This window comes from Homo sapiens, chromosome 1 (genome assembly GCF_000001405.40).
Source record: "Homo sapiens chromosome 1, GRCh38.p14 Primary Assembly".
Taxonomy (NCBI): domain Eukaryota; kingdom Metazoa; phylum Chordata; class Mammalia; order Primates; family Hominidae; genus Homo; species Homo sapiens.
In genome coordinates this window covers 1,159,826-1,171,400 of record NC_000001.11, presented here as the reverse complement: position 1 = coordinate 1,171,400, position 11,575 = coordinate 1,159,826, and the positions used below count along the sequence as shown (strand labels likewise).

At 66.3% G+C, this 11,575-nt stretch overlaps 2 long non-coding RNA genes and 3 other non-coding genes across 6 annotated transcripts in view, besides 1 other annotated feature; all 5 read right to left on the bottom strand.

Moving 5' to 3' along the window:
- Positions 28-595: an enhancer, noted in NCBI's record as "H3K27ac-H3K4me1 hESC enhancer chr1:1106186-1106753 (GRCh37/hg19 assembly coordinates)". NCBI's record gives its function as "activates a minimal SCP1, AML or CMV promoter by ChIP-STARR-seq in primed H9 embryonic stem cells {active_cell/tissue: H9 hESC(primed)}" and the evidence as "EXISTENCE:reporter gene assay evidence [ECO:0000049][PMID:30033119]".
- MIR200BHG (MIR200B, MIR200A and MIR429 host gene) lies at positions 1,063-8,524 on the bottom strand. Its single transcript, XR_007065348.1, has 2 exons — positions 8,143-8,524; positions 1,063-7,766 (listed from the first exon to the last, which is right to left on the bottom strand). It is a non-coding gene; the product is annotated as an MIR200B, MIR200A and MIR429 host gene (long non-coding RNA).
- MIR429 (microRNA 429) lies at positions 2,314-2,396 on the bottom strand. The gene has a single exon (NR_029957.1). It is a non-coding gene; the product is annotated as a microRNA 429 (primary transcript).
- Positions 3,449-3,538, bottom strand: MIR200A (microRNA 200a). Its single transcript, NR_029834.1, has one exon. It is a non-coding gene; the product is annotated as a microRNA 200a (primary transcript).
- MIR200B (microRNA 200b) lies at positions 4,203-4,297 on the bottom strand. The gene has a single exon (NR_029639.1). It is a non-coding gene; the product is annotated as a microRNA 200b (primary transcript).
- A 936-nt stretch (positions 8,525-9,460) lies between the features above and the next one.
- Positions 9,461-11,575, bottom strand: part of LOC124903820 (uncharacterized) — a 33,257-nt gene continuing 31,142 nt past the window's right edge. For both annotated transcript variants that reach the window (XR_007065351.1, XR_007065350.1), the window contains one exon: positions 9,461-10,912. This is a non-coding gene — a long non-coding RNA (uncharacterized LOC124903820). The remainder of the gene's footprint in view (positions 10,913-11,575) is intronic.

Sequence of the window (11,575 nt, the reverse complement as noted above, 5' to 3'; positions counted from 1 at the left end):
GCCCTTCCGGGAACAGAGCAAGGCAGGGTCCTTGCCCCTGGGCTGGGAGGGAGAGCCCCGTGTTCATCTTTGTGGCGCACCGGCCTTTGGAGGATGTGATCTGGACACACACCTCGGAGGACGGGTTTCCTTGTGTGGGGGGAGAGGGGGTGCAGCGGGCAGGTCCCCCAACCCCTGCAGCCTCCCCTCCCTGGGGCCCCACACAGGCCTGAGGACTCCCCACCGCCCTCAGAAGCCCCCAGGCTCCCCAGCCAGGCACTACCTCGTCCCTCACAGCTTTCCTGAGTTCAAACTTGAAAACTCTGCCCCTTAATCCCAAAATCTGGGTGGTGTGGCAGCCACGGATACCTGTAGCCCCAGCAAGGTTCCTGCGCAGGGCAGGTGGGAGCAGGACCTTGGGCCGTGGGTGTGCCCGGCCCGCGTGTCCAGGTGGGTGCAGCCCCCAGGGCCAGGCAGAATGGGGGAGGCCTGGCACCTCTCGGGCAGTGGGTGGGGTCTCCAGGCAGGCCAGGCCCTGCCACTGGAAGGGAGGTGGCCCCTTTGCCACCAACCTGTGGCTGTCACCGGGGCAGGTGTGGCTGGACCAGGAAGCCCTCCTGGCTGGCGCCTGGCTGCCTCCATCCTGTCCGCAGCCCTCGCTCCTGCTGGCCGGCACCATACGCTCTTGGTCACCTGCTCAGAGAGGCCCCCCAGGGCCACCGGCTGCCCCCTCGGTAGCTCCCTTCAGCACAGGCTGAGGTGTCTCCACTCAGGGACTCCCCCTTCCCCCAGAACCTTGACCTGAGCTGACCACAGGAGAGTCAGGGAAGATTCCTGAGCAAAAGAAGGAGGGAGGGAGGGACGGAGAGAGGAGGAGGAGGGAGGAGGGGGAAGGAGGGATGGAGGAGAGGAAGGAGGAGGGGGAGGGAAAGAGGAGGGAAGGGAGGGAGGGAGCCTCTCCCAGGAACCTTGGGGGCCTCCGGGGCCGGATGCAGTGTCTGGGGTTCTGTCCTCAGCTGGGCCCTTTGCACGGCGGGGGTCTGTGCACGTGTGGTTAAAATAAGGAGCTGGTCCAAGCATGGGTGCGTGAACTGCAGACTTTATTACTATACAAAGACTTTTTTCTGTTTTGTTCCCGGTGCTTATGGAGAGGAGGAGGAGGAGGAGAAACCGCACAGGGAGGCTCTGGGTACGGCCCCGCCAGCCCCAGCAGGGTCCTTCCTGTCACACCCCGTGCAACGCAGCAGGCGCTGTGGAGAGTGAGCCCCACTGCAGTGTGGGGCGCAACTTCATCCGAGGGGTGCTTGGAGGGACTGGCCAGACGGGCACAGCGGTGAGGAGGTGCTGGGATGGGGAAGGTCCCCGAGCTCCGGGCGGTGTTGGATGAGCTCAGGCTCACAGGTGTGGCCCTGCCTGGCCCGAGCTCTCCAGGTGTGTCCAAACCTTGTGTTATATGCACCTTGCAGTCCAGGGCTCACCCGTGCGGTCTGGTGAGGTGGACGCCACATTCTGGGGGTGGCACTCCAAGTTCTTCCCCACACACGTCGCTCAGGCGGCAGCAGCATGGGGGTGGTTTCAGCTGGCCCTGCGGGGGACTGCCCCATCTCCCCAGGGAGGAAAGAGGGTCTGGAGATAGCCCCGGGTGGGGGAGGTCAACCTGCAGATCCCGGCTTGGGGACAGCTCCAGATGACACCTCGTGAGCCGCCTGGGGTGGAGGGGCCCCCAGTGCAGGGCTGCGTGGCCCCAAGCACCTGCCTTCCCTATCCCATGGTCTTGCAGCTGGGCACCGGCCCCGCCCGCCTCAGCCCCAGAGATGGGCCCTGGAGGGAGAGTGTGGTCTGCATCCCACGGCTGGCCCCTGGAGGAGGAGGGCCAGGGCTGGCCCCGGGAACCTCCCAGAGGTCTCTGCGTCCTGCTGCCTGGCCGCTGAGACGCTGTGACATTGTCCCTGCTGGGCATTTGTGCTCCTCCGTGCCCTGGGCTCAGGCACTTTGGGGGGCCCAGCTGCTTCTGTCTCAGCCTCCCCAGGTGGCGAGGGGGCTGGGGCTGTGGGGTGGGGCTCCGGGTATCTGTGACTGTGACCCCAGGGGCCAGGCTGATAGCACGGGGTCCACAGCATCTGCCCGGGGACTACAGCTCGAGGGCCCCAGGAGGCCGGGTGGGCACAGGCCATGGCGAGGGTGGGGCACAAGAGCCCCAGACCCCGGCGGCTTTGCACTGATGGGCTGCGGATGGGCACAGGCCATAGTGAGGGGGGCATGAGAGCCCCAGACCGGGCGGCTTTGCACTGATGAGCTGCAGGGCAGGCAGCTCTCTCCTCTAACGGTGATCAGGCAGCGGATGGACGGTTTTACCAGACAGTATTAGACAGAGGGCCAGGTCTAACCATGTCTGGTAAGACGCCCATCGGCCGGCGGTGGTGTGGGTGGCCTCCGGGTCCTGGGCTGGTGTCTGCGGGGCCTGTGAAGGGAAGGCCCCGGGGGCGGCTCCTGCCACCTCCTGCAGCTGCCCTGATCCCTCCTGGGTCTGCAGAACGAGCCCCCGAGGCACTTCCCTGACAGCCCCCATCCCAGCACCTGGTCCCAGCCCAGCCTGGCTGTGTGGGGGTACCCGGGAGCCACCTGGTCACCCAGGCCCTGCTCTTGGCAAAGGTTCCCTGCAGCCCCTCGCTGGCTTCCTGAAGCTCGGTCGGGTTAATGAGTAACAGTGAAGGGCAGCCTCTCCCCGGTGGCTGCCCCCTCCCCAGGCTGGGGCCTTGTGTGGGGGTGCGGTCCCAGGCGCCCTGGTTGCAGATGGAAAAGATGAAACAATGGGTCATCCTGGCCTGGTGGGTTTTGGACAAAGTTCCTGTTCTTGTTGACTGGGGGAAGGAATGAGACCCCTTGTCCCTCAGAGGGCAAGCGCAGAGCGTCCCCGCTCCCCTGCATGGTGGGGCTCGGGAATCTGAACCCACCTTGTCCTTCCTGCGCCCCCAGCAGACCCTCCACGGAGCCCGGACCACGTGAGAGAGGCCACTGTTGCTCTTCCCTCTCCAGCCCTGGCATCCCAGCCCTATGGCCTTTCCTGGAGCCAGGTCACCCTAAAACCCAGCCTGGGAGGTTGGGTGGGGGAGGCACAGCGGCTCCGGGAGGGGGAGCAGGATGCCCTCCAGGCCACCTGTGGAGGCACCAAGGGGTCCTCAAGGTGTCAGACCCAGCCTGGGCGTGAGTGACCCCGGGGGCACCCCCGGCAGAGGCCGGCCCCTCCCCTGGGGGCTGGACTTCGGAGCTGACACAGGCCCTCTGCCGCCCGCTCAGCCCTCCGCCCTCACCCGTCTGCTGGCCCCGCTCGGCCCTCCGCCCTCACCCGTCTGCTGGCCCCGCTCGGCCCTCCGCCCTCACCCGTCTGCTGGCCCCGCTCGGCCCTCCGCCCCAGCCCATCCCTGGAGTAGGAGCTCCGGATGTGCCTCGGTGGTGTCCCCGGCGAGCGGCGGGTCACCTTTGAACATCGTTACCAGACAGTGTTAGAGTCAAGCTGGGAAATCCAGCACTGTCCGGTAAGATGCTCACAGGGGCCCGGGAGGGACGTGGGGTCCCGCCAGGCAGGCAGGGGCTGCTGTGGAAGCCCAGGGAAGAACCGGAGCGGTGAGCAGCCAGGGGTGGTGCCGGGACCGGACAGGGCTGGCGGAGAGGGGCTTGGGGGCCCTGAGACTGCACACAGGCCCACCCTCCCTGCTTCCTCCAGGGCAAGGGGACCCTGGGGCTGCTGACCCGGGACCAAGGCGGGGGCACTGGTCTGCTCGGTGGCCGGCCCACCCTGTCCGGCAGGAGGGAAGATGGCTGTGGCCAAGCTGGGTGGGGCGGCTTCCTCTGGGTTCCACGTGGCTCCCGGTTGGGCCTTGCCCTCCTGAGCCCTCTGTTGGGTCCTGCTCGGCCCGCACCTGCTGGGTGTGACAGCAGCTCCCGCCCAGGCGCTGTGGGCAGGGCCCGGACACCTGAGCGTCCTAATCCCCAGATCACTGTGGGGCGCCCTGGGTGCAGCTGCAGGAGGCCTTGCATTCCGGGGTCTCTGAGATGCTGGTGGGGGGCGCCCCAGCCCCCTTCCGAAGGTCACGTCCCCCCGTCACTCTCCCCAGAGCCATCTGGCCCGGACGGGGTGGGGTCCGGTGAGCGGGCTGTGTGGGAGGGGAGTGTGGGGCTCGGCGGGAGGCCCTGGGGGCCGGGACGGGGTCGGCCGGTCGCTGCGTGCAGGGCTCCGCCGTCATCATTACCAGGCAGTATTAGAGACCTGACTCCATCCAATGCTGCCCAGTAAGATGGCCACGGCTGCCCGAGCTGGGTCCGGGGGCCGCCCGGCTGAGGGTTGCATGGGACTCGCTGGGAAGCTCAGTAGCTGGGGGGCCTCGTCCTCCTGGGGCACTGAGGACAGCATCGCCGGAGGGCAGGGGCCCGGGTGAGCCCCACCCGCCAGCCCTGCCGAGTCCAGCAGCCACCAGCTTTGGGTCCTGGGGTGGGCACCTGGGGGGCCGAAGTGTCCTGGCCAGACGGCCGAGGACTAGGTCGGAGTGGGGCTGACACGGGCCCTCTGCCCGCCCCGCTCGGCCCTCTGCCCCCACCCCTCTGCGGGGGACCTTCCCTCTGGGTGGTCCCATAGGAAGGCCTGGACAGCAGCCCCAGCCCCCCGGGCCCCACGTGCTGCCTTGTCTGAGGCAGGGGACAAGGGCCTCTGTCTCCAGGATGGTGTTCCAGGAGCTGCTTCCCTGCCCAGCCCCTTCTCTTCTCAAAGGCCCGGTGTCTGCGAGGCTCTCGAGACAGAACGGTCCCCGCCACCTGGAGACCCCTCTCCCATGCTGCCCCGCTCACTGCACAGCGTCTGAGGGCAGGGGGTGCAGGCGGGGGTGGGGGTGGGGGTGTGGGTGGGGGTGCGGGCGGGGCAGGCTCCTGACCCTGCCCAGCCGTCCCTGCGGTTTGTGTGTCTGCTGGTCTGGGGTCTGACCCAGGCACAGAGGCAGACCGGCCACAAACACAGACACAGGCAGTCAAGCCTCAGACGCCGCGAGGGCTGAGCCGCCTCTGCAGGGGGGCAGGAGGAAGTGGGCAGCCCTGTGGCCCCTCCTTGCTCAGGGCCCTGCCTGGAGCCCAGAGACCCTAGGCTTCTACTCCAGGCACACTCAGGACCCGAGGGAGGTTCAGCCCTCAGGCCAGACCAAGGCTCCCCGCCCGCTGGACACGCCGTCCTTCCTGTCCTCCTTCCCACCCTTTCTCTGCAACCACCTGGTGCCAACTGGGCCCAGAGAGCTGGCCAGAGCCACTCTTCAAGTTTTCTGGCACCTTCCACCCACAGAGGCTGTAGGTGGGGCGCAGGCCCTGTGCCGATTCCCCTGTCTGCCCGCCGACCACAACAAAGGTCGTGTCCGCCCGCCCCCGCCTGCTGCCGGGTCCACCCGGTTCCAGTCTCCTCCTCCAAAGGCCACGTCTCCGAGGTCCTGACCCAGCTTCCCTCACGCCTGGACCCTCTCCGGAGACCCCACACCAGGTCCCCTGCCCTGGCCCCAGCCTGTCAGGCTCCAGGGCACCCGGCTTTCCCTTTCCATCACCTCACAGGCCTTCGCCACCAATGCCATCAAATCCCATCAAATCAGTGCTTCAGGAACACAATTTCACCTGTTTTCTGAGCTAAAGGAAACTAAGACTTCCCGTTCAGAGCAGAGTTGAATTTCAGCTCCATTCCTGGCTGCCAGGTCACGTGGGGAGGGCAGCAGGTGCCCGGCACTCGTCCCTTGCAGCTGGGGCCAAACACAGTTCCCAGCCCACCCGGCGGACGGGCCGGCCTCCCACTGCCAGGTTCAGGGCCCGGGGCCAGTGTCCCCAGGCCCTTGGCCACCCAGGGCCAGCCTTCTCAGGAACCCCACAGGGCCAGAGCTGGCCTGGCCACCCCAGGCTCATCAGTCATTGCGTTCTCACCCGGGAGGCTGAGGGGCACACGGCAGAGGCTGGGACCCAGGGACAGACCCGTGTGGCAGGCAGGTGGGAGAAGCCTCCTTCCTAAGTTCCAGGGCAGGATTCCCAGGCGCCTCCTGAGTGCAGAAGCTGTAAAGCCAACGAGCAGCTAGCAGGAGAGGCCGACCCTGGCTCCAGGGCTGGGTGGGGAGATGGTGGCCTGGGCCGGCAGGCTCAGCTGGGGGACCAAGGATTTCGCAGGGCCTTGTGCCTGGCACAGGGGTGAGGGGCAAGGAGTCGGGTGGGCAGGCGGCCGAGTCTTACCGTGGCCACAGGTCAAGAAATGAAAAGCGAAAACGGACCTTCCCTGTTTTCCGAGAGCCCCACGCGGCGCTTTCTTGTCAACCGTCGCCGGGAAGTGGAGCTAGCGTGGCGGTGCCGGTTGAGGTGTTGGGTTAATCATCACCGCGGGGCCAGACTCAGCTTGGGAAAATCCAGGAGTGAGTCAGGAGGCCCAGAGCCGCCCCAGCAAGGGGTTCTCTGCGGAGCACACTCCCCGTGGAGGCGCCCCTCGGCGCACCTGGCCGCCCTGCCCGCCTGCCTGGCCGGGTCCCACCTGCACAGGCTGGGGTGGGGTGGGAGCGCCCGGCGAGGAATGTGATCCCGGCGTGAAAACCTAACTTGTTGGTTAACCTGCCCGACGGGCTTAATCAATGGTGCGGCCTCGAGAACAAAGTGTGAAATCCAACCCTCCCCGACCGCGGGAGCCGAGCCGGGAGTCAGAGGCTGCCGGGGGGTGGGGTGCGGAGCTCGGCCTGGCGGGCACTCAGGTTCTTCCCTCTGCGTCGCCGGAGCTACGCGTCTGGGAGGCAAAGCCGCCATTTCACCCACACGGCGGGCGTGGATTTGCAGCCCTCGCAGGCCGGCTGTGAGCACGGCCCGTGTGTCCGGGCCACGTCCACCCGCCCCACAGAGAACACACCAGCTCCTCCAGGGATCCAGGGGTGCGCGACCTCCTCGGCCCATCTCATCTTCCTCTAGATACTAAAAAATGTTCTGACAAACTCGTTTCGCAAATAAGTATTTGCAAATTACCAAAATGTCTGAAAAGAACCGCAAACTGCATCCGCATTTTCACAAATGCAAACCTTAATTTTGCCAAATTCAATGTGCTGCCAACCATGCTTTTAAACATTTCATCTGGGTTACTAGAAAAACAAAACCAAACCACGTCTTTCCCCAGACACTCAGCGTAAACGGGGCCTGAGACGCTCCCGGGGGGAGGCCTGAGACGCTCCCGGGGGGTTAATTAAAGCATCGGCTCTTCACGCCCTAAGAATTTTGTTCATCAAGAACAATGAACCTTACCTCCCGCCACCATGATCAATCAGTTCCCAAACTTCAAGAAAGCCAGTGATCCGGGCTGTAAAACCGTGTTCAGGTGCCCCCGCGGCAAGTTCAAGGCTGGGCCTCGGTGGGTCGGACCTTGTTCCCGGCTGCGGCCACCGTACTGAGCCGTTTCACATTTAAGTAAAAAACCTCACGAGAGACGTTGCCCCCACCCCAGTCATAGCGCGGGGCCTGGGAACCGGCTCCAGCTTCTCCGGGCTGAGCCCCACCTGTACCAGACCAGCCACGACCCCAGGCACCAACCTCACCGCCCATGGGCTCGGCCGGCCTCTGACCAGAGGGTGCTGAAACCAAGCCCTTCCCACCGCAGACTCCAGAGCCCAAGGGAGACGCGGTCATCCTCGCACCCGGCCAAACCCTTCTACGCACCCACCTCTGAGGCGACAGCTTCCCGTCTCCGCACAAAGTGCCTCAGGACGGCGGTGGCTGCTTCTGGAGAGAACTTTCTAGAAGGCCTGCTGTCAGGTAGGCGGCAAGAACGTGACCCCTCTCGGAGCCTGCCCTCTGCCCAGGCCCTGCCCTGAGGGCACCCCATGCCTGGAGCCCACACACTGTGCCCGTGCCCGGAAGACGCAGCCCGTGGGTCCAAGATGGCTCCACACCCGAAACCCAGCCGCATCTGCGCAGGGGCCCACCTTTCCCTGGGGGGGGGAAGGACCCGCTCCAGCCTGTGTCTGCAGTGACCGGAGCTCCCCTGGACGCTGGCCAGGCTGGCGACAGCCCATCTGTCACCTGCGCCCCTGCCCCACGTCGGCCACGGCGGGGGCTGGCGAGGGCCCCCCTGCAGGGAGCCGCCTCCCCCTGCGCCTCAGCCTCCCCGCTGCCCGCCCTTACCTGCCCCGACAGGTTCCACTGCTGCGGCCGCGGCCCAGGAGCCGGGTTGAGGCTGCTCCCGCCCCGACCCTGCAGCCAGCGCCTCCCCTGTGCCAGGCCCGGGTGGGTGTGAACCGGCTTCGGAAGGAATGGGGGGCACCTGAGCCCGTCCGTCCCGGTCCACGGAGCTGGGTGCTCTGCCTCAGCCAGGGTCAGGCCTCAGGGCGTCCGTTGGCGCGGGGAGACCTGCAAGGGTGAGCTTCCTGCCCCCGCTCAGGCGAGGCCCTGGCACAGGAAGTCAGTTCAGACCTGCACAGGTGGACAACTCGCCCGTCTCTGGGAGAGTTTCGAGGGCGACGGGACAATGGGAGGCGGTGGCGAGGTGGGGGCCTCGGGAGGGAAGAGCCGGCTCGGCGGGGGCTCGCCTTACAAGGAGCAGTGCTCCCCGCCCCACACAGGTGCGAGCTCCCGCTGGCCAATCTCCGCTCCTGGCCCCCGACAGGTGTGTCCCCTGGGCTCCCATAGGCCGGGCGGGAGGCGGGCCAGTGACGGTGACGCAGGCCCGGGCCCCGCAGGCCCCGCAGACTCCGTCCCGCCCCCACCTTGCCGCCCACCGAGGTTGAACAAAAGCCAGGATGGGAAGGCTTCTGTGGGGCCCGTGTGGAGTGTGGGCGACATGGGCAGGGGTAGGGGCAGCCGCGGGCAACTCTCGCCTCTCCACCTCTGCCTCCCCACCCCCCAGCTCCGCAGGGCTCCTTCCCAGGCTGCCTTAGAAGCGGGTAGGGTGGCCCCAGGGTGAGGGGTCACAACCTGCCCGCCGCCTCCCTGCAGCGGTGGTGCCCTGTCCCATGGGGCTGAGGCCTCTCATGGACAGAGGGCAGGGGCCATACCTGCCTGTCTTTGCTCCAGGCCCGCAGCCCTTAATTTTGGAGCAATGAAGGGACCCCCCGTAGGCCCAGGTGGGTCTCAGGATCGGTCTCCTCGCCAGGGGCTCGGAGGAGCTACGTGCCCCCAGTCCCACCCCAATGGGCAAGAGGCTCCGAGACCCCACAGACCCACAGCTGGGGGAATGAGGGAGGGGTGTGGGTGCCTTCCTGAGCCTCCCTGCGAGGCAGGGACAGCTGAGAGGCCCCAGCAGCTCCCGGAACATCCCCATCTGGGCTCTGGAGGTTACTTTGGAGCCCCTGGAGTGGGGGTTCAAGTTTTCTTTGGGAGCTTGGAAGGCCTGGGGGACCAGGGGTCTGGGGGTGGGGAGGGCAGGGCCCCCGCCCGGTCCGGGAAGCGCCCCTCCCATGGCAAAGTGTTTGCTTCTCGCATCTCCCAGAGGAAGAGCCCATAATGAAACGACAAACGGTCTGTAATTAGCCCGACCAGCAGAGAGGTCCCAGCGGACCCCACGGTTTTCCATAATGAGCTCTGGGAGCTCGGTCAGGAGCCTCATCACCGTGGGCCTGTGCCCGGGGCTCCTGGCTCTCTTCTCGCTGGAAACTGGTCCTGGGGGCACCGGTGACCTCTGACCCACTGCCCTTGCCCCAACAGTCCCTCCCCCGGACAGTCAGGGCCCGGCCCACTCTGATGCCCACTCAGGTGTCTGTGTGGGGCAGGTGGGGGTGGGGTCAGGACACACCCGGCGGGTGGGCTCTTGTCTTCTGGGGAGACTAAGGCACCGCCCACACCTCCAAATCCAGAGTCTGCTGTTGGCATCCAAGTGGGAGAAGGCTGGACCCCCGTCTCGGGCTCACACCCCCACTACCCGCACGCCGCCTCACTCACTGGTCCCAGGTGTGGCCCTTGGCCCCCTGCACGGCGGGACCTGCCTGGGAGCTGGTTGATTTTTGGGACAGGTGTAGTCAGATTTCATGGAGCGATGGGGGCGGCTGGTGAGCCACCGCACGCCATGGGGACCAGGCAGAGTCAAGCTTCCCTGGGGCTGTGTCCACACGCTGCGTTGTTCCACGGCTGTGACTGTCCGGGAATGGGCGAGAGGTGGGGCGGAAGCGTGACAGCCCCCCGGGATGGGACGGGACGTCTGGGCAGAGGCTCTGGGGTGGAAGGGCTGGGGGCAGAGCCTGGGGAGAAGCTGCTCTTTCTCCAAGGGCCACGGAGAATCGTGGAGGGCAGGGAAGGACCCTGGGCAGGGCCGCTCTGGGAGGTGGACGTGGGTCCCTGGGTGCTGGCGGAGGCTCTGGGCAGTAGGGAGAGCCGGGGGGCAGGAGGGGCAAAGGGCCCGGTCTGGGGGCTTCGGTGGTCTCGGGATTGGCTGGTGGTGGGTGGTGAAGGCGGGGCTCTTCCCGGCTGTGGTGGAAAACCTGCTGCCTGGGGACTCCTGGTGGGAGCTTGGGGCCTGTGATGTGGGGGTGCCTCCGTGAGAAGAAAGGTCACTTCTGGCCTTAGACCCCAGAAGCCCCCCTCATGAGTCCATGGGCTGCAGCCCTGAGCCTCCCAGGATGGGCCTGGCTCCGTGGGCTGCTCTGAGCCCCGGCCAGCCAGAGCCTGTGCAGCCGCTCCTGAGGGTGGCCCTGGGAGGGCCAGGACTCAGGCACACAGCCCCACCACCACCCTTGGTCTCAGGTAGGTGCAGGGGTGTGGGGGGCACCCCAGGTGTCGCTGGGGCCCACGGGCATCCTCAGGCGAGTCTGGAAGGACTGGTGCCTGGTCGGACGGAGCAGGTGGCCCCCGAGGCCCCTCTGGTCCACGCTGCTCGTGCACACGGCCTCCGCTCTGTCCGGGTCCCAGGAGCAGTTCTTCCTGGACCCCCTCTTGGTCCACAGGAGCCTGGGTTCAGCTCTGACTGAGACAGGGAGAGAGAGCACACAGGTGAGGTCATGCCAGGGAACGCCTCACAGAGCCGTGGGTCCCTCTACTGTCTCCCTCCCTTGGACACAAGCCAAGGCCCCACGGAGGACAGACAGCGGCCCCCGCGTGCCCTCCGACCCAATCAGGCCCAGTGTGAGCAGGAAGCAAACCTCCACTGACCTCCACTGAGCGGAGGGCTTGGCACCTCCTTCCTTCCCTTCCCTCCTCCCTGCGCATCCCCCCCGACCGTCCCTGCGCTCTGATGGCGGCCCCTGGTCAGGACTCTGCCTTCTCCATCAGTTCCAAAGCTCCACCCGCAGACGAAACGCTTGGAGCAACGTCTGCCCTCTGACCTCAGTGGTAAAACACCATCCGGGTGCGGTGGCTCACGCCTGTAATCCCAGCACTTTGGGAGGCCGAGGCGGGCGGATCAACTGAGCCCAGGAGTTTGAGACCAGCCTGGGCAACATGGTGAGACCCCGTCTCTACAAAAAATTTAAAACTTAGCTGGCTGTGGTGGTGCACACCTGTGGGCCCACCTGTGGGAGGATTGCTGAGCCTGGGAGGTGGAGGCTTCGGTGAACCGTGATCGCACCACCGCACTCCAGCCTGGGCCACAGAGTCAGACCCTGTCTCAAAAAAGAAAACACAAAGGCAA